This window comes from Homo sapiens, chromosome 17, assembly GCF_000001405.40.
Source record: "Homo sapiens chromosome 17, GRCh38.p14 Primary Assembly".
Classification (NCBI taxonomy): domain Eukaryota; kingdom Metazoa; phylum Chordata; class Mammalia; order Primates; family Hominidae; genus Homo; species Homo sapiens.
Genome location: NC_000017.11, coordinates 61736731 through 61762343, shown reverse-complemented (window position 1 = coordinate 61762343; position 25613 = coordinate 61736731). Strand labels below are relative to the sequence as shown.

Sequence of the window (25613 nt, the reverse complement as noted above, 5' to 3'; positions counted from 1 at the left end):
ATTGCCTAAACCAATGTTATGTAGTTTTCCCCCCTCTGTTTTCTTCTAGTAGTTTTACAGTTTCAGTTCTTGGGTTTAAATCTTTAATTCATTTTGAGTTTTTTTTTAAATATTGTGAGATAAGGGTCCATTTTCATTCTTCTGCATGTGGATATCTAATTTTCTTAGCACCATTTTTAGAGAGTCTTTTTTTCCCATTGTGTATACTTGGCACCTTTGTTGAAAATCAGTTGAGCACATACATGGGTTTCTTTCTGTGCTCTTTGTTTCGTTGGTCACTGTGGCTGTTTTTTATGCCAATACCATGCTGTTTTAATTACTATAGCTTTGCAGTGTGGTTTGGAATCAGGTCGTGTGATGCCTCCATTTTTGTTCTTTTTACTCATGACTGCCATGGCTATTCAAAGCTTCTTGTGGCTCTATATGAAATTTAGGATTCTTTTTTCTATTTCTATGAAAAATGACATTGGAATTTTGATAGAGATTACATTGAATCAATATGTCACTTTGGGTAATATGAACATTTTAACAATATTCTTCCAGTCTATGAGCAAAGAATATCATGCTATTTACTTGTATCTTCTACAATTTCTCTCATCAACATTTTATAGATTTCAGCGTACAAGCCTTTCTTCACCTTGGTTAAATTTCTTTCTTTCTTTCTCTCTCTTTTTGGTAGCTATTGTAAAAGGAGTTCTCTTAATTTCTTTTTTGGATAGTCTGTTATTAGTATATAGAAATGCTACTGATTTTTTGTGTGTTGATTTTGTATCCTGCAAGTTTACTGTATTTATTCATTTATTAGTTCTAACAGTTTTTTGTTGTAGTCTTTAGGGGTTTCTATATATAAGATTATGTCTTCAGCAAACAGGGGCAGTTTCACTTTTTTCTTTTCTATTTGGATGCTTTTTATTTCTTTCTCTTTCTAAATTTTTCTGGCAAGGACTTCAGTACTGTGTTAAGTGGACATAGTGAAAGTGGGCATCCTTGTCTTGTTCCAGATCTTAGAGGTAAGGCTTTCAATTTTTTCACCATTGAATATAATGTTAAGTGTGGTCTTATCATATTTGGCCTTTATTGGCCAAATATGCAGTACATTTCTTCTATACCTAATTTAGTAAAAGTTTTTCTCAGGAAAGGATGTTGAATTTTGTCAAATGATTTTTCTACATCTAATGAGATGATCATATGGTTTTTGTCCTTCATTCTATTAATGTGCTGTATACATTTATTGATTTACATATGTTGAACTATCTTTCCATCCAGTGATAAATCCCATTTGATCATGTTGAATTGTTCTTTTAATGTGTTGTTGAATTTGGTTTGCTAGTATTTTGTTGAGGATTTTTGCTTTTCTATTTATCAAGGATATTGGCCTACAGTTTTCTTTTCTTGTATTGTCCTTATCTGGCCTTGGTATCAGGGTGATAATGCTGGTCATGTAAAAAGAATTTAGAAGTATATCCTCCTTTTCAACTTCTTTGAAAGCATTTGAGAATGATTGGTATTAGTTCTTTAACTGTTAGGTAGAATTCAGCAGTGAGCCAACAGGTCTTGGGCTTTTCTTTGATTGGAAAGAACTCATTATTGGTCTGTTTAAATTTTCTATTTCTTTATGATGCAGTCTTGGTAGGTTGTATGTGTCTAGGAATTTATCCATTTCTTCCAGGTATCCAGTTTATTTTGTTGGCATATAATTGTAATAGTCACTTTGATCCTTTGTATTTCTGTGGTATCAGTTATAATATCTCCTCATTTGTTTCTCATTTTATTTGAATATTCTCTTTTTTTCTTGTTAATCTAGCTAAAGGTTTGTTGATTTCATTTATCTTTTCAAAAACCAATTCATAGTTTTGTTGATCTTTGTGTTGTTTTCCTAGTCTCTACTTTATTTATTTATTCTCTGATCTTTATTACTTCTTTCCTTCTGTTAATTTTGGGCTTAGTTCTTCTTTTTCTAGATCCTTGAGGAGTAATGTTATTTATTTGGGATCTTCTTTTTTGATGTAGGCATTTGTTATTGTAAACTTTCCTCTTAGGACTACGTTTGCTGCATCCCTTAAGTTTTGGTATGTTGTGTTTCCATTTTTGTTTGTCTCAATATATTTTTTTTAAATTTCCCTTTTAATTTCTTCATTGCCCCCTTGGTTGTTTGGTTGTTCAGGAACATGTTGTTTAATTTCCATATATTTGTGAATTTTCCCAAATTTTCCTGTTACTCATTTCTAGTTTTATACCATTGTGGCCAGCAAAGATACTTGATATGATAACAAACTTAAATTTGTTAAAACTTGTTTCATGGCCTAATATATAATCTATCCTGGAGACTATTTTATGGTATTTGAGAAGAATGTGTATTCTGTTGCTCTTGAATGGGATATTCTGTACAGGAATACCTTATTTTATTGTGCTTTGCTTTATCGCACTTTGCAAATATTCTGGGTTTTTTTTTTTTCATAAATTAAAGGTTTGTGGCAACCCTGTGTCAAGCAAGTCTATTGTCACCATTTTTCCAATACTATGTACTCACTTCATGTCTCTGTGTCAGCATTTTTTTAGCAATAAAGTATTTTAAAATTAAGGTATGTATTTTTTTAGACATAATGCCACTTGTACACATAATAGACTGCAGTATAGTATAAACATTAACCGTTTATATATGATGGGTAACAAAAATGTATGACTCACTTTATTGTGATATTTGCTTTATTGTGGTGGTCTGAAACTGAACCTACAATATCTCCAAGGTATGCCTGTAAATGCCTGTTAGGTCCATTTGGTCTAAATTTATTCAAGTCCAATGTTTTTAAATATATTTTCTGTCTGGATGATTTGTTCATTGTTGAAAGTGGGGTATCAATGTCTCCTACTATTATTGTATTAGAATCTATCTCTCTTTTCAGATCCTTTAATACTTGCTTTATATATTTAGGTACTTTGATGTTAGGTGCATGTGTATTTACAATTGTTATATCCTCTTGATGAATTGACCTTTTTTTGTTAAATAATGTTCTTCGTTGTTTCTTTTTACAGTATTTGACTTAGTCTATTTTGTCTTATGTAAGTATAGATAACCCCACTCTCTTTTGGTTTCCATTTTGTTGAATAGCTTTTTTCAGCTGCTCACTTTCAGCCTCTGTGCATCCTTAAAAGCAAATCTCTTGTAGGCAGCATATAGTTGGATCTTCTTTTCTTACTCTTTCTAAATTGCTCTGGGAATTAAGACTCTATGTCTTTTTGCTAGAGTGTAATTCATTTACATTCAAGGTAGGTATTGAAAGGTAAAGAGTTATTACTGCCATTTATTTATTTATTTATTTATTTATTTATTTATTTATGACAGGGTCTTGCTCTGTCACCCAGGTCAGAGTGCAGGGGTGTGATCATAGGTCACTATAACCTTGAACTCCTGGGTTGAAGGGATCAACCTCAGCCTCCTGAGTAGCTGGTACTACAGGCATGTGCCACCACACCCAGATACATTTTTTAAAAACTTTTTTTTTTTTAGAGATAGGGTCTTGCTGTTTTGCCCACACTGGTCTTAAACTCCTGGCTTCAAGCAATCCTTTGGCCTCAAGCAATCCTTCTGCCTCAGCCTCCTAAAGTGCTGGAATTACAGGCATGAGTGACCACGCCCACCCAGCATTGTGAATTATTTTCTAGTTGTTGTGTAGGTACTTTGTTTCTTTATTTCTCTTGCTGTCTTCCTTTGTGATTTGATGGTTTCCTGTAGTGGTATGCCTTGAGGCCTTTCTATGTTTGTTATGCACTGCACTGTAATTTAAATATTTTTCTTTTGGATCTTATTCACTAGATTGTGAAGCGATGCTTTCTCCAAAAAATTTCTTTCAAGTTTTAGAGCAACAAATTTACAGCAGATTCAGATGGCAATACTTGAAAGTAGTAACTTTTAGGTAACATTATAGTGGTTGCTTCTTATTCATCTGCTTCCCTCAGCCTGAATTCTAATAGTGCAAGAGCACTGACTTCATTATAGTTTAATTATTAGCCCATTTACAGAAGTATAGAAAACGAGTTGCCTTTTTCGCCTACAGTTAATCTATTCAGGAAAAGAATGAAACATATAGTTGAATTTGTGTGAATAAGTTTATACATTCAGATTTTAGCCAACATTATTAACTCAGTCAACAGTTCTTCATTTTTAAAAAGCAAAACAAGTCAGATTATATACATTTTAACTAAATGATTACTTTAGACATTGATGAATTAACTGTTGATGAAACAACAGTAATTCAGAATTTATGTTTCAAAGAGTTAAGAATTTGTTCCATACATAACATAGTATTGAGTTCTTATTGTTTTCTTTTCTTTTTTCTCTTTTTTTTTTTCAAGACAGTGTCTCATTCTGTTGCCCAGGCTAGAATGTGGTGGTACAATCACTGGCTCACTGTAGTCTTTACCTCCCTGGCTCAGGTGATCCTCCCACTTCAGCCTCCTGGGTAACTGGGACTACAGGAACATACCACCATGCCCAGTTATTTTTTTTGTAGAGATGGGGTTTAGCCATGTTGCCCAGGCTGGTCTTGAAATCCTGAGCTCAAGAGATCTGTCTGCCTTGGCCTCCCAAAGTGCTGGGATTACAGGTGTGAGCCACCGCGTCTGGCTTTTATTGTTTTCTTTTCACATGATTTCAGGAAAGTAGAATTTCATGTGTAAATATGTTAGTTGTTTTACAAATGTCATTTTTTGAAGTTTTTTGCATTGTAAATATCATTGTATATTTTTATCAGAATGTATCAAGAAGTAACTGTAAATCAGGTGTCACTAGTGCATTACTGCACTAGTAGTGCAGCTCTGACATTTTCAGAGTCCTCAGTATTTTAACTAATTTATGAGAGAGAGTGTTCCTTTTCAGAGAGGGCTGTAGGATCTTCATTTCCAGTTAGATTGCCAACAGAGGTCTTACTTTCACTTTAGGGCAGTATTTGTCTATATTATTCCTCCAAGTGCACCTCCAACTGCACCTGTGTTCATTGAAAGTTTGATTCTGAAATATAACCCAGCCTCTTGAGGTGAAAGTGCTGAGTCAAATATCACCAAACAGGAAGCTGTTTCAATAGAAATTCATATTCTTGGTTTTCTTATATTTTCAGTTTGTATTTAGCAAAAATTAAGGACATTCATTTTTACTGTAACTAAAAAAGTTATTTAAAAAACACTACTACTTTTTCATTTTTATTAGTATTTAAAAGGAACTCTTTTTTATTTCTAACATATGCCACATATGGGTACATATCAACTGAATAAAAGAAAGTAAACATTTAAAACATATGAGTACCTCATGAAATGAATAATGAAGAATCATCTTTAGATGGAAAAATATACCAGGTTCTACTTATGAAATAAATTATGTGAGTAAGATTACAAAAGATGGTAGTCTGTTTAGGCAGGCCTATTAAAAGCATTAAGACTTGAGTACTGGCTATTAAAGTGAGTAAATGGCAATATTATAAAGTTAAACACATGCCAAAAAACATTTTCCAGAGGACTGGGATTGTAACAATACCACTAATGAGGGCAAAGAGGTCTTAATGCAATTTGCACTTTCTAAAGTTTCAAAAAGAGGCTTTGAGTTAGTGTATTATTAATGTACTGAACATCTGGAACTGTGTAAAAGCTATGGACATTGAGCAAATGCAGGATTTCCCCACTAGGTTGCATTCTAACTTATTCCCTCCCTAGCGAAATACTAGTTTTAAAGAAGTTTGACAAAGTAAAATGACAATATCCAGATAAGACATGGGCATTCTAAAGTGTCTTTTAGTTTGTGAGATCTGACTTTAAAAAAAATTGCCTCTGAGGTTAACAAATTGAAGTGATGTGAACACCAATTAGTAAATTAAATCATCTCTATCACTATATGTTGGCTGGTCTCCCTATATGAATAGTATTTACCCTTTATGAGCTATTAAGTAGGATATTTTCAACAAAGATACCTCACATTTTTCATATATGTAAGCCATAAGACCTGAGAGACAGCTCTGTGTCATCGTACTTTCCTTTAAGTTAGTTTTTAGGTGCCTAGTTAGGATACCTAAGAGAATTTAACAATTGAGTTATTTTTGTGTTTATTTATGTGATTTCTCTGGCAAGACAGAAATAGTTAAGCTGTCTAAATGTGTAATTCAAGTGTCACCTGCAATGAGAATATAAAAGCTGTAGACCTAAATATTTTGTTATCTGAAACTGAAAATTTGCTGTAGGCCATTTTCACTAAAATAACCAGTATGTTTTTGCTATAGAATTGTACTCCAAATTTGCATGTAGCCCCTGTGTAATCCTTAACAAAAGGTTTTAAGGTACTTTAAAAAAAATCTCCACTGAAGAAATTAAAATAAAACACATTGTGTTCTGTGGAAATGTGTCATAGTCACCAAATTCTCCCTTTTATGAAGTGTTCCTCATAGCTCTTTGCCCGAACTAAAATCCGGATAGACCCAGAGGACATACCACTTCGTCAGACCTTCCAAATTGTGACCATCCTTTCCTCTCGTAACTTGCAGTATCTCAGACTTAGTATCCTATTTACTCTCCATTGTTCTTTCTAAATCTTTACCTGTCTGTTTTCTTCCGGAAGGGAGGGGAGAAGAAAGGAAGGGAGGAAGGAATGAATGAACAAAGTCTCACCAAGAGAAAACTAGTCTAGTCTAGCTAGTCTGTTTGCTCATGTCTTTTAGTCATACCCTTCTTTCCCCCTCATCTTTGTCATCTTACAAAGCATCTGGATACTCTTATTTTTAATATTTTATTTTTATTTGTTTTTTCAGATAGGGTCTCACTCTATCACCCAGGCTGGAGTACGGTGGCATGATCACAGCTCAGTGCAGCCTCAACCTCCAGGGCTCAAGCAGTCCTCCCACCTCAGCCTCCTGAGTAACTGGGATCACAGGCACACACCACCACACCCAGCTAATTTTTGTACTTTTGTAGATACAGGGTTTTGCCAAGTTGCCCAGGCTGGTCTTGAACTCCTGGGCTCAAGTGATCCTCCAGCCTCAGCATCTCAAAGTGCTGGGATTACAGGTGTGGGCCACTGCACCCAGCCAACTCTTCTTTTATTAAGGACTTGGGCATCTGGTTTTACAGTTATGTTTTACCCCTCCCTACTCTCCTCCCTGACCTTCCATTGTTTTGGACCTTCATTTTTCATTCATTTATAAAATTCATTCAAAAAGTATTTACTGACCACTTTCTATATGTAAGGTACTGTTCTATGCACTGGGCAATCAGCAGTAAGTAAAACAGACAAAAATCATTGTCCTTTTGTATTCCAGGGTGAGAGACAGAAAATAAATGAGAGACACAGAAAGCTACTAATATGTTAGATGATATTATGGACTGAATGTTTGTATACCACCAAATTTTTTATGTTGAAGCCCTAACCCCCAGTGTGGTTATATTTGGAGATGGGGCCTCTAAGGAAGTAATTGCGGTTAAATGAGGCTGTAAGGGCCTTCCTTATCTGATAGGATTAGTGTTCTTATAAGAAGAGACACCAGAAAACTTCATTGCTCTCTCTCCCTGTTCCTCTCTGAATAGAGAGGAAAGGCCATGTGAGGACACAGAAGGTGGCTGTCTGCAAGCCAAGAAGAGAGCCCTAACCAGAAATCAAGTTAACAGGCACCTTTATCTTGGACTTCATAGCCAAGAAGTAAGAAATAAATTTCTCTTGTTTAAGCCACTCAATCTGTGGCTTAAACTAATAACTGTAAGAAATAAATTTCTTTTGTTTAAGCCATTCAGTCTGATATTTTTGTGTGGTAGCCTGAGGGGACTAATACAGATGGTGATAAGTGCTATGTAGAAAACTAAAGCAAGGAAAGGGGGAAAAGAGGATCCTGGGGTTGGAATTTTTTTGGGTGGGGGCTGGAGGGTGCTCATTTAGAATTTAATTGGATGGTTTGGGAAGGCCTATCTGAGAAGGTGACAGTGAGTAAAAGTGTAAAGGAAGAGAGGAAGCAAACCATTCTGATTTAGGGGGAAGAATGTTCAGATAGTGGGAATCTTGAGACAGGAGAGTACCTAGTTTGAGCAAAAGGAAGCCATTGTAGCAGAGTAGGACTGAAGTATGGGGAATTGAAGGAGATACGGCCAAAGAAATAGCTGGGTAAAATCACACCACAGTAAGAATTTAGATTTTGTTCTAAATGCAGTAGGAAGCCATTGGAGGGTTTAAACTTAGTTTTAAAAGGATTATGTTGGCTGCTGTATGGAAAATGGACTGTAGAGAGCATAGGCTGAAGCAAGGGTGACTGTTAAGGAGTCTGCTGTAATCTAGATGATAGATGGTGGTGGCTTGGACCACTGTGGTAGCAGTAAAGATAGTGAGAAATGTTTAGAGTCTAGATAAATTTAAAAGTAGTGCTGGCAGGATTTGCTGATGAATTGGATGAGCAGTAGTAGAGATGAGGGGCTGGGTGTGGTGGCTCATGCATATAATCCCTTTGGGAAGCCAAGGTGGAGGAGTGCTTGAGTCCAGGAGTTTGAGACCAGCCTTGGCAACACAGCAAGACCCTCTCTGGTTTTTTGTTGTTGTTGTTGTTGTTGTTCTTTTCAAGCCAGACATGGCAGTGCATACCTGTAGTCCCAGCTACTTGAGAGGTTGAGGTGGGAGGATCGCTTGAGCCCAGGAATGTGAGGCTACAATGAGCTGTGATCACACCACTGCACTTCAGCCTGAGCAACAGAGTGAGATCCCATCTCTAAAAAAAAAAAAAAATGGAGAGGAAATAAGATTTTCTTGCTGGTCCCCCCTTTTAAATCTGTACTCTCCCACTAGGCAATCTCATCTCTATACATTCTTTTTTAGTTTTATCTTTTGTCATGCTTTCCTAATATATAATTAAATTCTGACTTCTTCCTTAAGTACTATGCCCATATACCCAACTGCCATATCAACATTTCCATTTGGATATCTTAAAGGCAACAAACTTTTAATCTTTCCTTCCAGTCTTGGTCCTTTGCCAGTGTTGCCTGTATGAATGAATGGTACTGTCTTAGTTCATTTTCTGTTGCTTGTAACAGACTACCTGAAACTGGGTGATTTATTTTTTAAAAGGAATTTATTTCTTGCAGTTACAGAGGCTGAGAAGTTCAAGACTGAGAGGCTGCATCTGGTGCGGGCCTTCTTGCTGGTGGGAACTCTCTGCTGAGTCCCAGGGTGGCTCAGAGTATCACAGGGCAAGGAGGCTGAGTATACAAGCTCGAGTCTCTATTCCTTTTTGTATAAAGCCACTAGTCCCACTCCCATGATAAGCCATTAATACATGACTGGACAAATCCATTCATGAGGGCAGCACTCTTGTTACCCTGTCACCTCTTAAAATCCCCCACCTCTCAATGCTGCCACATTAGAGATTAAATTTCAACATTTTGGAGAGGACAAATGTTCAAAACATAGCAGGTACTGTAATCATATTTGGGCTAATCATATACCTACAGAGCACCTGTGAACCTTTTTCTCCCTTCCCTGTCATGTCCCATCCAACACCATATCTTACTCATTTTAATTTTAAGTATTTTTATAATCTGTTCACTTTTCTTTCTCTACAGTTAATTTTCAAAAAGATAAAGTCATAGCTCACATATAAAGTTAACACCTATCACAGATTTTATTAAACTCACTGATTAATGAAGAAAAAGTATGATGATTGGCCTATTCAGAGAGCATTTAAGGATTCACGTACTTGTAGGCAATTTAATAAAGGAATAGACTATAAGAAAACTGGTTGATGTACTACAGGGCAATAAATAGTAACTTTTAGGGTTATCTTTTCTCCTGAACAGAAATGATTTGTATTTGTATTAGACAAAAATATCTAAGTTGAAATATAATTTTGCTAAGTCTGGAACCTTAATTAATAGTGAACAGTGAGTTCAACAAAGTGTATTTCCCTAGATAATCTTCTAGTGGGCCTTTGCCTCCATTTGAAATGGAAAGTTTGTACTGTTTCTTTTTTATCTTATTCTCAAGGTTTGCATTTTTTTTCTTAACTCTTTCTAATTCAAGCTACCACCATCTCTGGATTACTATATTAGTAGCCTAAATGTACCTGTTATAACCCCTCCTCTAACTCATCATATTAATAATCAGACTAATGTTGTTTAATTTTTATATTTTATATTTGTGAAATATGTGTGTATATAAGTCTACAAAACTAATATGTACATTTTAAATAATAATAAAATGGAGATCTGAGTATCCATCACCCAGCTTAAGAAATAGAACATTATTTCTACATTAGAAGCTTCCATCTGGCCAGGCGCAGTGGGTCATGCCTGTGATCCCGGCACTTTGGGAGGCTGAGGGGTGGATCACCTGAGGTCAGGAGTTCGAGACCAGCCTGACCAATATGGTGAAACCCCGTCTCTACTAAAAATACAAAAATTAGTCAGGTGTGGTGGTGTCCGCCTGTAGTCCCAGCTACTCAGGAGGCTGGGACAGGAGAATTGCTTGAACTCAGGAGGCGGAGATTTCAGTGAGCCGAGATCGCACCACTGTACTCCAGCCTGGGTGACAGAGCGAGACTCTGTCTCAAAAAAAAAAATCCTCCATTTGTTCCTTCCCAATTGTATCCCCCTAAAGCTAAAGGTATTAGTTTCATGAGTTTTTTAAAGTTATATATATTTTTCTCAAAGAACATATTGTTTTTGAACTTTATATAAATGAAATCATATTTGTTATCTATCTGTATTTGCATTTTTTACTCAACATCTAGAAGTTTATGATTCATCCTGGTTAATATGTGAGAAACTAGTTCATTTATTTATGTTACTAAATAGTATTCATTTGTGTGTTCTTTTCAATTTTTAAAATTGTGGTAAAATACACATGACATAAAATTTACCTTTTAAGCATTTTTAAGTGTACAACTTAGTGCCATCAAGTACATTCATGATGTTGTACAACCATCACCAGTATCCCTTTCCAAAACTTTTCAATCATCCCAGTCAGAAACTGTACTGATGGAACAATGACTCCTGTTTAGCCCCTTCCCTCAGGCCCTGGTAACCTCTGTTCTACTTCCCATCTCTAAGAATTTGTCTATTCTAGGTACCTCATATAAGTGAAATCATATAATATTTGTACTTTGTGTACAAAAATACAGTGGCTTTTTTCACTTACTATGGGTTTATCCATATTCAAGCATTTGTCAGAATTTCATTCCTTTATAGTTGAATAATTTTCCATTGCACGTAGGTCATACATTTTGTTTATTCATCTGTTGATTGACACTTGAGTTGTTTCCACTATTTGGTTATTGGGAATAATGCTTCTATAAACATCAGCATACAGCTGTTTGTTTGGATCCTAGTACTTTCAGATATTTGGGGTTATATACTTAGGAGTGGAATTGCTGGATCATATGGTAATTCTATGCCTATGAACTTTTGAGGAACTGCCAGACTGTTTTCCTCAGCAGTTGTACCATTTTACATTGCCACTAGCAATGTGTGACAGTTACAGTTTCTGCGTGTCCTTGCAACACTTACTTATTTGGACAGCAGTTATACTAAGTGAAGTGGGACTTCATTGTGGTTTTGACTTGCAGTTTCCTAATGACTAAGGATGTTGAGCATCTTTTCATGTCCTTTGGGCCTTTTTTTTTTTTTTAATCATTCAAGAAATGTCTATTAAAGTCCTTTGCCTATATTTGAATCTGTTTGGTTTTTTCGTTGTTGAGTTGTAGTTCTTTATATCTTCTGGATATTAATCTTTTATCAGCCATATGCTTTGCATTCTGTGTACTATCATTTTAACTTTCTTGACAGTATCCAAAAAAGTTTTATAATTTTTTATGAAATCCGAGTTTATCTGTATTTTTCTTTAGTTACTTATGCTTTTGATGCCACAGCCAACAAATCATTGCCAAATCCAAGGTCATAAAGCCTTCTATTTTTTTCTTTTAGAGTTTTATATTTTTTAGCTCTTACAGTAATGTCTTTGACCAATGTTGAGTTAATTTTTATTATGTAGGCAAGGTGTTACTTCATTCTTTTTACATGTGGTGATCCAGTTTTCTCAACACCATCTGCTGAAAAGAATCTTCATGCATTGTTTCAATAATGCAAAAAAGCATTTGACAAAATGCAGCACACTTTCATGATACAAATTCTCAACAAGGTAGGAATAGAAGGAAATTTAATATAATAAAGGTCATATGTAAGAAGCTCGTAGCATACTCAGTGGTGCAAACTGAAAGGTTTTCCTCTAAGATCAGAAACAGGGCAAGGATGCCCACTCTTGCCATTTCTGTATAACGTAGTACTAGAATTCCTAGCCAGAGCAGTTAGGCAAGAAAAAGGAATAAAAGTCTTCCAAATGGGAAAGGAAAAAGTAAAATTGTCCTTATTTACAGACGTGATCTTTCCTAAAGATCTTATTTTTAAAAAACCTGTTAGGACTAATAAATTGAGTAAAGTTGCAATATGCAAAATTAACATACAAAAATGAGTTGTATTTCTATACACTGACAACAAACTGTCTGAAAAGCAAATTAGGAAAACATTTCCATTTGCAGTAGTATCAAAACAAATAGAACACTTAGGAATAAACTTAAGGAGGTAAAAGACTTGTATATTGAAACCCATAAAACATTTCTATATATACTGTTTTATTTTGATTTTTATTTCCTTTTCTGTTTTCCACAGTGGCTATACTGTTTTATATTCCCACCAGCAATACACAAGGATTCCAATATCACAACATCTTCACTAATAGTTATTTTATTTACTTTTTTAAATAATGGCCTTCCGAACAGCTGTGAACCAATATCTCATCGTGGTTTTGATTTGCATTTCCCTGATAATTACTGATGTTGAGCATCTTTCCATATACCTGTTAACCATTTGTATGTCTTCTTTGGAGAACTGTCTATTCATGTCCTTTGCCTGTTTTTCAATTTTTTTTTAATATTGGGTTTCTTAATATATTTTGGATATTAACCCCTTATCAGATATATGGTTTGCAGATATTTTTTCTCATCCTTTAGGTTGCCTTTCCACTCTTTTTTTTCCCTTTACTTTGCAGAAACCTTTTAGTTTGTTGTGGTCCCAATCGTAGGTTTTACTTTTATTGCCTGTGCTTTTATGTCATATGCATAAAATCATTGTTAAATCCAATGTTACAAAAATTTTCTCCTGTGTTTTTTTCTAAGAGTTTTGCAGTTTCAAGTCTTTTTTTTTTTTAGACAGAGTCTCGCTCTGTCGCCAGGCTGGAGTGTAGTGGCGTGATCTTGGCTCACTGCAACCTCCGCCTCCCAGGTTCAAGCGATTCTCTTGCCTCAGCCTCCCGAGTAGCTGGGACTACAGGCGTGCGCCACCATGCCCGGCTAATTTTTTGTATTTTTAGTAGAGATGGGGTTTCACCGTGTTAGCCAGGATGGTCTCAATCTCCTGACCTCGTGATCTGCCCGCCTTGGCCTCCCAAAGTGCTGGGATTACAGGCATGAGCCACTGCGCCCAGCCAACAGTTTGAAATCTTACATTTAAGTCTAATCCATTTTGAGTGAACTTTTGTGTATTGTGTAAGATAAAGGTCCAGTTTTATTCTTTTGCATGTGGATATTGTTTGCCCTGAACTATTTGTTGAAGAGACTGTCCTTTCCCCATTATGTATTTTTGGCACCCTTGCTGAAGATCAGTTGATCATACATGTGTGGATTTATTTCCAGGCTCTCTATTCTCTTCCAATGGTCTATATGTCTGTCTTTATGGCAATGCAATTACTATTTTGATTATGGTGGGTTTGTAAGATGTAAGTGTCATGAAGCACGATGCCTCTAGCTTTGTTGTTCTTTCTCAAGATTGTTTTGATTATTCCAAGTCCTTTGTGGTTGCATATTAATTTTTGTATTTTTTTCTGTTTCTGTAAAAAATGTCATTGGGATTTTGATAGGAGTTACATTGAATCTACATTTGTATTAGTCTTTAAAATCAATGGTCCCCAACCTTCTTAGCACCAGGGACTGGTTTTGTGGAAGACAGCTTTTCCACAGACCTGGGTTGGGGGTGGGGGTGATGGTTTCGGGATGAAACTGTTCCACCTCAGATCATCAGGCATTAGATTCTCATAAGGAGCATATAACCTAGATCCCTTGCAAGCACAGTTCACAATAGTGTTTGTACCCCTATGAGAATATAATGCTGCTGCTGATCTGACAGGAGACTGAGCTCAGGCAGTAATGCTCACTCACCTGCCACTCACCTCCTGCTGTGCAGCCTGGATTCTACCAGTATTCTGTGGCCTGGGGGTTGGGGACCCCTGCTTTAAATGTTTCATAGAGGACTGTGCATAGTGGCTCACACCTGTAATCCCAGCACTTTGGGAGGCCAAGGCAGGAGGAGCACTTGAGGCCAGGAGTTCAAGACCAACCTGGGCAATATAGTGAGACTCCATACCTACAAAAAAAAAAAAAAAATTACCAGGGCATGGTGGCTCATGCCTCTAGTCCTAGCTACTTGGGAGGCTGAAGTAGGAAGATTGCTTGAGCCCAGGAGTTTGAGGTTACAGTGAACTATGATCACATTACTACACTCCAGCCTGGGTGACAGAGCAAGAGTGTATCTCAAAAATAAATTAATTAATTAGCAAAGAAATGAAAATAAAAAATTAATAAAATTAAATAAATAAAAATGTTTTGTAGAATCGGTATTGAGGCCATTTAGGTCCTTAGCTTTTCTTTGATGGGAGACTTTTTGTTACTGATTCAGTCTCCTTACTAGTCTGTTCAGATTTTCTGTTTCTTCATTATTCAGTCTTAGTAGGTTGTATATTACTAGGAATTTGTCCATTTCATCTATTTTATCCAATTTATTGGCATATAATTTTTCAGAGTAGTCTTTTATTGTATCGGTGGCATCAGTGTGTCTTCTTTCATTTCTGATTTTCTCTTTTTTTTTTCCTTAACCAATCTAGGTAAAGACTTGTCAATTCTGTTGATCTTTTCAAAAACCAACTTTTTAAATTGTTTTTCTGTTCCCTATTTTATTTCTGCTCTAATCTTAATATTTCTTTCCTTCTGCAAACTTTGTATTTACTTTGTTCTTTTTCTAGTTCCCTGAAGTGTAGAATTGGGTTACTTGAGATCTTTCTTTTTTAATGTTGGCATTACCGCTATAAACTTTCCTCTTAGTACTGCTTTTGGTGTATTTCTTACTTGTGGTATGTTGTGGTTTTTTTTCCACTGGTCTCAAGATAATTTCATAACTTTCCTTTTGATTTCTTTTTTGACCCATTCATTGGTTGTTCAAAAGTGTGTTAATTTTCATATTTTTGTAAATTTGCTGGTTTTCTTTCTGATACTGAATTTTAGTTTGATTCTGTTGTGGTTGCAAAAGATACCTGGTATTAATTTTTATCTTACATTTGTTAAGACTTGCTTTGTTACCTAACACATGATCTGTCCTAGAGAATGTTCCATGTACAGTTGTGAAGAATATGTATTTTGCTGCTGTTGGGTAAAATGTTCTATATATGTCAGGTCCATCTGGTCTCTAGTATTGTTCAAGTTCCGTTTCCTTGTTGATCTTCTGTTTGGATGTTTTATTCATTACTGAAGGTTAGATATATGACTTTCCTACTCCTCTTATATTGCTGTTTATTTCTCTCTTCAGTACAATCACTATTTGCTTGCTATATTTGGGTGCTCTGATGTTGGTTGTGTGTATATTTATAGTTGTTAAATATTCCCAGTGAATTGACCCATTTATCATTATATAATGTCCTTTTTTTTTGTCTCTTGTGACAATTTTTGACTTAGAATCTATTTAGTATCTTAGAATTGCCACCTCTGCTGTCTTTTGGTTACCATTTATAAGTAATATCTTTTTCTATCCCTTCACTTTCAGCCTATGGGTATCCTTAAATTTAAAGTGAGTCACTTGCAGACAGCGTTTTTATCTATCCAGCTACTTTATATCTTTTGATTAGAAAATTTAATCCATTTACATTTAAAGTAATGACCGATAGGGAAAGACATTATTATCATTTCAATAATTGTTTTCTGTCTAACTACAGCTTTTTTGTTCCTCTATTCCTCCCTTGATGTCTTTCTGGAGAATAAAAAGTAATATAATAACTTCTTAGCTGTGTTTATGGAATTAAAGTAGTTCTTCCTATTTAATTAAAGCATATTGTACAGCAGTTAACTATTTTACTAATGTTTTGTTTTATAGTCTTATTAAGAAGTTTATTTCTAAAAATAGTTAAAGGTAAAATTGAGGAAATAAACTATCTTATAAAAATTGATCAGTTGCTGTTTTCCAGAGAATTTTGGGTGGTTTCTTATAATAACTTGTCCAAATTGTGTAGAACTCATAGTATATAACAAGTGGATAAAACAGTTCAATTTAAATAATAATCTCTAATATTAGCTTTTGTCTTTTTCATTTATTCAGCTTTATTATTAACTTCTTTCTTTGCATTTGCTATATTTCATTTTCTAGCTTCTTGGAAAGAATACTTGATTCTTTTATTTTGACATTTTAAAAATAAATATATTTAAAGCTATAAATGTATTTCCATGTATTGCCATTGCTGTATGCCACATGTTTCGAATTGTGAGTGCTTTTCTTATTCATAACTAAAGATTTCATGAGTTATACTGTGTTTTTTCTATTTAACTCATATGGTTTTTAAGAATATGAGTTTTACAGCCACGTGTGTTGGTTCACACCTGTAATTTCAGCACTGTGGAAGGCTGAGTCTGGAGGATCCCTTGAGACCAGAAGTTTGAGACTAGCCTGGGCAACAAAGCAGGATCTCATCTCTACACAAAATATAAAAATTAGCTGGGTGTAGTGGCATGCACCTGTAGTCCCAGCTACTCAGGAGGCTAAGGTGGAGGGATTGCCTGAGCCTAGTAGTTCGAGGCTGCACTGAGCTATGATCTTGCCACTGTACTCCAGCCTGGGTGACAGAGACCCTGTCTCTAAAATCAATCAATCAATCAAGATGAGTTTTTGTTTTGGGCTTGACTTTTAATCTACCATGACTTTATATTATTGACTTTTAATCTACCATGGCATAACTGTTGAAATATGTGATCAATATGATAAGGATTGCTTAAAATTTGTTGAATGTCCTTTTGTAATCTAGCCCATGGCTGTAAATGTTCCATTTGTGCCCATATATTTTCTACTTCTTGGCTGAGTCTTTATTTCTATCTTTTTTCAATGCAGGTTATTAATGATGATCAAATATTCAAATAATGAGCTTATCTGCCTATACACTTAGTAAAATGATCTTAAATCATCTTCATTTGAAGACTATTTAAGAATATTAAGAAACTTCACCTTAGGTTTAAAGAGAGAACTTAAAGTTTGTTAACTTTGACAGAGGTTTTTTGTTTTTTGCTTTTGCTTTTGAAATTGCCAAGATAGTAGTAGTAGTAGTAGTAGTGGTGGTGGTGGTAGAAATTGCCAAGATAATAGTAGAAGTAGTAGTAGTAATAGTAGTAGTAGCAGTAGTAGTGGTAGAAATTGCCAAGATAATAGTAGTAGTAGCAGCAGCAGCAGCTAACTGTGCCAGCACCATTCAGATCTCTCTAAATCTGTTAATAAATTTAACCCCATAACAGCTCTATGAGATATATTGTTTTCCTCATTTTATAAATGAGAAAAGACACAGAGAGATTAATATACTTGCCGTAGTCACATTGGCTTAAACAAATGAAGTTAAGTTTGTTTAGCTAGACACACAAAAAATCATTTTTTTCTTTCCCCTCTTTAGTTATTAGAAAAATTAAAAGAACGTTGGCTCTCTACTGGTTTATGGCATAATCTGGAGTTGGTGAAGACAGTCATTGTAGAACCACAGGGAGGAGAAAAAACAAATTTTGATGAATTACTGCAGGTGTACTATGACGCAATCAAATACAAAGGAGAGAAAGGTAACTGGAAATTATTTCATGGTCGGTGAAAAAATATTTTTTATTACAAAGTAAGAAGGTACAATTATAATTTTATATTTTTAGATGAATTACACTTAAGAGAAAAATTATAATCCTGAGTGAAAAGAAAATAAATTGGGTAAAGAAATTCTTTTAATTGTACTTGTTCTCCTATGAATATTTTCACTTGAGTATGCTGATTCAACTTTAAGAAAAACGATGCCATCATCTCACAGTCTTCAGTGCACTACCTGAAATAGTTTGTGCAAAAAGGCAGTTAGGATATATATAAATATATTCCTTACTAGCCAAATGAGACCTATATTCTGATGCATTTAGTACACTTGGTGCTTGTATTCTATTACATAAGGTAAACTTGAATTTTCAAAACATAACTGAAAACTCAATTCCAAGTTAGAGCATATCCATGAAGAGTTTGATGTGAGGCCGGGCGTGGTGGCTCTTGCCTGTAATCCTAGCGCTTTGGGAGGCTGAGGCGGGTGGATCACTTGAGCCCAGGAGTTCGAGACCAGCCTGGGCAACATGGTGAAATCCTGTCTCTACAAAAAGTACAAACATTAGCAGGGTGTGGTGCATGTGCCTATAGTTCCAACTACTTAGGAGGCCGAGGTGGGAGGATTACCTGAGCCCAGGAGGTCAAGGCTGCAGTGAGCTGTGATTGTGCCACTGCACTCCAGCCTGGCTGACAGAGTGAGACCCTGTCTCACACACAAAAAATAATAAAATAAAATAAAAAAGTTTGATGTGAAGGGATAGTAGTAGTTTATGAACAATGCAAGAAAGAGGTAATATAACATATCAGTATCTTTTTATGGTGTATATATTATGGTGTTCTCTGTGTCTGTTTTCAATACTTTTAAATATATTGATTCCATATGATATGTATTATCAATTACAATTATTTCAATTATTCTGAGAATTTTACTTTCAGGTGGTAAAGGTAATAATGCAACTTCAATTTTTATTAAATAAACCTGTTTATAATCACACAGTTCATATGCAAGTTGCTATTCTGACATGTTTTTACTGTATAAGTTATCTGGAAGATGCAGAGTTTGTAAATTGGTTTGCTACCCTTTTGCATATAAATGTAATTTTGTTCCCCTTATTTACTTAAAGACATTGAACTTTTAAAACTTTATCTCATAATAGTGTTTTATTTTGATTATTTTAAATTTGCTACTGTAATTACTATAATTATAAATCAGGTATTTTCAAAATGACAAGAATAAGCAATTTCTGAGAATTTTGGATATGCTTTTTTCTGTTGTTTAAGATGGAGCTCTCCTGGTAGCAGTTTGTCGTGGTAAAGTGAGTGAGGGTCTGGATTTCTCAGATGACAATGCCCGTGCTGTCATAACAATAGGAATTCCTTTTCCAAATGTGAAAGATCTACAGGTAGGCCATCAAAACCTTAAGTTTTATTATTACAGGAGTCATTGGTTTTGTATAAAGTTAATTGCAGGGATCCCTCATTTTATTGCGCTTTGCTTTTATAGTGCTTTTTTACAAATTGAAGGTTTATGGTAACCCTGCATTGTGCAAGTCTTTCAGCACCATTTTTCCAACAGCATGTGGTCACTTGTTTCTGTTTCACATTTGGGTTAATTCTCACGATATTTCAAACCTTTTCATTATTATTATACTGTTAGGGTAATCTGTGATAAGTGATCTTTGATGTTACTATTGTAATTGTTTTGGGGCATCTCATACTGTACCCACATAAGAGAGCAAACGTAATTCATAAGTGATGTATGTATTCTAACTGCTCCACTGACTACCCTTCCCCCATTTCTCTCTCCTTGGGACTCTCCATTCCCTGAGACACAACAATACTGAAATTAGGCCAGTTAATAACCCTACAATGGCCCCAGAGTGTTCAAGTGAAAGGAAGTGTTGCATGCTTCCTACTTTAAATCAAAGGCGAGACATGATTAAGCTTAGTGAGCAAGGCATATTGAAAGCTGAGACAAGACAAAAGCTAGGCCTCTTGCACCAACCAATTAGCCATATTGTGAATGCAAAGGAAAAGTTCTTCAAAGGAATTAAAAGTGTTACTCCAGTGAATGTACAAATAATAAGCAAACAGTCTTATTACTGATATAGAGAAAGGTTTAGTGTCTGGAAAGAAGATCAAACTGTCCGTAACATTCTCTTAAGCCAAAACTTAATTCAGAGCAAGGCCCTAACTCTCTTCAATTCTGTGAAAGCTGAGAGAGGTGAGGAGGCTGCAGAAAAGTTTGAAGCTAGCAGAGGTTGTTTCATGAGGTTTAAGGAAAGAAGCTATCTCCATAACTTAAAAGTGCAAGTTAATGCAGCAGGTGCTGATGGAGAAGCTACAGCAAGTTATCCAGAAGATCTGGCCAAGATAATTGATGAAGGTGGCTACGCAAAACAACAGATTTTCAGTGTAGAAGAATCAGCCTTCTATTGAAAGAAGATGCCACCTAGGACATTCATAGCTAGAGAGGAGAAGTCAATGCCTGACCTCAAAGCTTCAGAGAACAGGCTGACTCTCTTGTGATGGGCCAGTGCAGCTGGTGACTTTAAGTTGAAGCCAATGCTCATTTAACATTTTAAAAATCCTAGAGCCTTTAAGAATTATACTAAATCTACTCTGCCTGTGCTGTATAGATGGAACAACAAAGCCTGCACGACAGCACATCTGTTTACAGCATGGTTTACTGAATATTTTAAGTCCATTATTGAGATCTACTCCTCAGAAAAATCAGTTCCTTTCAAAATATTACTGCTCATTAACCACACATGTGGTCACTCAAGAACTCTATGGAGATGTACAAGGAGATTAATGTTGTTTTCATGCTTGCTAACAAAACATCCATTCTGCAGCCAATGAATAAAGGAGTAATTTCTACTTCCAAGTCTCATTACTTAAGAAGTACATTTCACGAGGCTATAACTGCTATAGATAGCGAGTCCTCTGATGCATCTGGACACAGTCGATTAAAAACCTTCTGGAAAGGATTCACCGTTCTAGATGCCATTAAGAACATTCATGATTCATGGGAGGAGGTCAGAATATCAACACTTACAGGAGTTTGGAAGTCATTGATTCCATCCCTCATTGGATGACTCTGAGGGAGTTAAGAGTTCAGTGGAGGAAGTAACTGTAGCTGTGGTGGAAATAATAAGAGAACTAAATTAGAAGTGGAGCTTAAGACGTGACTAAATTGCTGCAATCTCATGAGGACACTTGAACAGATGAGGAGTTGCATTTTATGGATGAGCAAAGAAAGTGGTTTCTTGAGATAGGAACTATTCTTAGTAAAGATGCTGTGAACATTGTTGAAATGACAACAAAGGAGTTAGAATATTAAATAAACTTAGTGCATGAAGCAGCGGCAGAGTTTGAGAGGCTTGACCCCAATTTTGAAAGAAGTTTTATGTTGGGTAAAATGCTATCAAAGAGCATCTTATGCCACAGAGAAATCTATTGTGAAAGGAAGAGTCACATGATAGAGCAAACTTCATGGTCGTCTTATTTTAAGAAATTGCCACAGCCACTCCAACGTTAGCAACCACCACCCTGATCAGTCAGCAGTCATCATTGAGGCAAGACCCTCTACCAGCAAAGAGAGTGACTCACTGAAGGCTCAGATGATCATTCACCTTTTTTAGCAATAAAATATTTTCAAGTTAAGGTATATACATTGGCTTTTGAGACATAATGCTGTTGCCCACTTAATAGACTGCAGTATAGTGTAAACATAGCTTTTATATGTGTTGGGAAACCAAAAAATTCATGTGACTTACTTTGTTATGATATTCTCCTTATTGGGGTGGTCTGGAACCAAACTTGCAATGTCTCTCAGGGATGCCTGTATATGTTTTCCTGTATCCTTAGACATTTTTAAATCTTTGGTGAATCTGAATGAGTGAGAAAAATTTAGTAGATACAGATTTTATTTTATTTTCAACTTATACTGTCTTTGGTCAACAGGAGTTATTTTCAAAGTCTGGTCCTGGGCCAGGTGCATTCGTATCACCTGGGAACTTAATAGAAATAAAGACTTTCAGGCTCATCCAGACCTGCCAAATCAGAAACTGTGGAAGTGAAGCCCAGCAATTTGTGTTTTATCAGTCTTTTAACCACAGACTCATGGGTTCCTCCGGGGAATCCTGGGGTCTTTTGTCCATCTGGCTCGCTTCTTTCCAGTGTCCTGCCTTGCAGATCTTGTGATTTAGTCACTCCATATTCTGATCTCTTCCACCTCAGCTCAACAGGACCACTGCGCTCTGCTTGTACTTTAATGCTCTGTGCTGTGGTCAGGAAATTATACCCAAGCAGAGAACTGGGATAATGGAGTTCACCTAATGAATTCCACTTAGCTCCAGAATTACTGTCTTGTGCTGTTTGGTGTCTACTACCTGAAAACAATTGCTCCATTTTGCCCGGTTATGCGATTACTTACAATGGAAGAAATATTCTTAAACCAGTTACTCAATCTTGGCCAGAAACAGTTGTATCTCATTATCACTGACTGTTTCCTAAACAATATATTTGAAAAACTATAGTAATAATTTGAGCCTAAGTTGAACTTATTGTTCATCAAGGAGGATTTTCTTTTACTTCCTACAGGCATTTGAAAGTGCTGGCAATCTGAGAAAATTTGAGATTTTCTGACCACTGAGCTGACTTATTGATTATGACCTATATCCCTCCCCCTAGGATACAGTCAGTTAGGGTCTCATACCAAAGCAGGAGTTCTTTCATTAGAATAGTTATCTTTTTAATTGTTAATACTTTACTAGGTACTGTGAATTAGATAATTTTTCTTTTATTTTTCTAGTCCGTAGCAGTCTTTAGGTAACATTAACAGTAATAAGCAGTATTTCTTTTGGTAGCCCTTACTCTTCCGTAACCTCTGGACCTCTTCAAAATTTCTGAAAGTCCTCAGGGGGTATCTCACTTGATGATTCAGAGTCTAATACTTTTTCAGCCTCCAGTAACTTTGGTGGTTTCTACTACCTTTCTCCAGTTAACCAGTGCTACTGCTGAGGGCACTAATGGCTATGCCCAAAGCTGGGTCTCCTATTCTAAAATGGCTGATGCTGCCTTGACTACAGCTACTGATGAAACAGTTGACATCTACCCAAGAAATCTACTGTCACCATCAACAGCATTGGTGCTGCATTCCACTGAAGTAGAGTGCTACTGATGGCACTGCTGTTGGTACTGGTATTGTCTCCTTTTAATGTCTTATCATTTTACTCTAGCTCTACATTATTGCACTAAGGCTGCTTTGTTAAAGTGGAAAGAATCCTTTTCCCTTCTTTAGACCACATCTTCTTCCAATATCTTAATAAAATACAATTTTGTTCCCTAAAACTAATTATTTCCATTTTTGCCTATGTCCTCTCTCTTCCTTGGACCCTACATATGAGTTCTTGAGACCTGGAAAAGAAGAAAAACTTTATGGCTAATACTAGGTTGTACTAAATATTATACGTACAAAGTAACAAGGCCTGAAAGGATCATCAAGATTATAATTCTGATTACATATGAGGAGAAGAGAAGGGAATGATATTCAGAGTAGTTATCAAAAGAATTTTAACTTTTTCCATAATTTTTAGTAAAGGAAAATAAGCTGCAAGAAAATATGAGAATGCAGGTATTTATTATGTTATTCTTCATTATTTTCCAAAAATTCTTAAAATTAAAAATATACATTTGTGAGAAAATTCCATTTCTCTTTTCTCCACCTTTGCCTCAACAGCTATGATTTTGAACATTGTTATTATACCAATCTGGGGTTCTTAATGCTTTTTTTCCTCAGGATAAATTCTTCCTAGACAATATCTCAGTCTGTCATGCAAAAAAGACACCTGATGGCCTACTCTGACATTCCTCAGTCATGATCCTATTTGTCATAGTTCTGCTTATGTGCATAAAACAGCAAAATAACAGAAGCATCAATGGGTTCTGGGTAGAGGGGAGGAAGGTGGTTCTAAAGGGTTATCCCTAGTGGTTCCCAAAAGGTACAAGTAGAGTGGACACAAGAATAGTTCAAGCTGCAGGGACAAGGGATAGAAAAAGTGAAATTATTTACCAGCACTACTAGATGTACTGGGAAGTGTATTTCTTATTGCCATATGTCTGGATCAGTTCTTCTTCTGTAACAACTCCAAAACTTAGTGACTTAAAACAGCAATCATTTATTACAGGTCATACATCTCTGGAGTGATTGGGTGACAGATGATCTAGGCTTGGGCTTGGTTGGTTGGCTCTCTCGATTTTAGCTGGGCTCAGCTACTCTGCCCTAGTTGGCTGATCTGTGTTGAAGTCAACTGAGTCAGCTCTGTTCCACCTGTATTTCATTCTTTGTGGACCAACAGACTAGCCAAGGCATGTTATTATTGCAATGGCAGTAGTACAAGAGGGCAGGCTTAACTGTAAGCAGTTAAGTCAAATACCTATTTACATCACATCTGCTAACCTCCTGTTGCCCAAAACACGTCCATGCACAATCTCAAAGTCAAGGAAGGGGAGAAAAGGGATAATTTCTACCGCACATGGCAAAGGACTTAGAATCATGACTTCAAAAAGAAGTCCTCAACTATCGCATTTTTTCATAATTAAAAGGTATTTGTTAGTTATCCATTTATAAGACTGGTGTGTTACAAGCTTTAAGAGTATACGCATGCAGTTTTTATAATGATTAAGAAGGCTTTTTATTATTTGGAAATGCCCAGAATATAGCAGTCAATACCTAAAATACTTGAAATATGTCAGAGCATCATTATGGGTGATTTCTTAACATTTTTATAAATGGTTAAACAAGTATTTGAAAATATTTGTATGCCTCTATGGAATATAAAAGTTAAGTTTAAAATTCTAATGCAGTCCAGTTTATCTGTTTTTTTTGTTTGTTTGTTGCCTGTGCTTTGGTGTCATATTTAGGAAAATACTGGCAAATCCAACATCATGCATATTTGCCCCTAATGTTTTCCTTGAAGAGTTTTATAGTTGTAACTCTTTAATTTAGATATTTGATTCCTCTTGAGTAAATTTTTCTATGTGATATATGGTGAGGTCCAATTTCCTTATATCTAAGTGAATCTTTTATTTACAGCGTATAGTTGGATCAGGTTTTTAAAAATCCATTTGGCCAATCTCTGCCTTTCAATTGGAGAGTTTAAACCATTTACATTTAAAGTAATTACTGATAGGAAAGGACTTACTTTTGCTATGTAGCTATTTGTTTTCTTGTGTCATGTGCTTTTTGTTCCTCAATCCTTCATCATTTCCTTTTTTGTATTTAGTTGATTTGTAGTATACTATTTTGATTCCCTTCTTTCCTTTTATATGTATTTTTTGGTTTTTAGTATTTACCTTGGGGATTATAACTATCATCTGAATCTCTGTTCCTCCCTTTTTATATTGTTATTGTCACAGATTCCATCTTTATACTTTGTGTGGCTGTTAGTTTTTAATTATTGTTTTTATGCATTTGCCTTTTAAATAATATAGGGAAAACAGAGGAATTGCAATTCAAAAGCATATTGTAGTATTCACCTGCAGTTACCTTTACCAGTGTCCTTTATTATTTCCTAAAGCACATATTTAGTGTTTATAAAGATGTTTTATAATCTGTTTCATGGTGTACCTTGAGGATAGGGATAATTTCTTCAGCATCTTTGTGTCTCTACAACTAAGAT

General features: G+C 35.6%; 1 protein-coding gene across 21 annotated transcripts in view, besides 1 other annotated feature; it reads left to right on the top strand.

Annotated features, from left to right (window-relative positions):
- Positions 1-25613, top strand: part of BRIP1 (BRCA1 interacting DNA helicase 1) — a 184390-nt gene that overhangs the window by 101185 nt on the left and 57592 nt on the right. For 13 of the 21 annotated variants that reach the window (XM_047436893.1, XM_047436891.1, XM_011525333.4 and 10 more), the window contains 2 exons: positions 17753-17912; positions 19210-19331. In XM_047436893.1, the coding sequence (XP_047292849.1) occupies positions 17753-17912; positions 19210-19331 (282 nt within the window). Of the gene's footprint in view, positions 1-17752; positions 17913-19209; positions 19332-22933; positions 23134-25613 lie in introns of all 21 variants that reach the window. The other 8 variants (XM_047436903.1, XM_047436895.1, XM_011525339.4 and 5 more) reach the window with 1 other exon arrangement.
- Positions 3435-4180: an enhancer, noted in NCBI's record as "NANOG-H3K27ac hESC enhancer chr17:59835525-59836270 (GRCh37/hg19 assembly coordinates)". NCBI's record gives its function as "activates a minimal SCP1, AML or CMV promoter by ChIP-STARR-seq in primed H9 embryonic stem cells {active_cell/tissue: H9 hESC(primed)}" and the evidence as "EXISTENCE:reporter gene assay evidence [ECO:0000049][PMID:30033119]".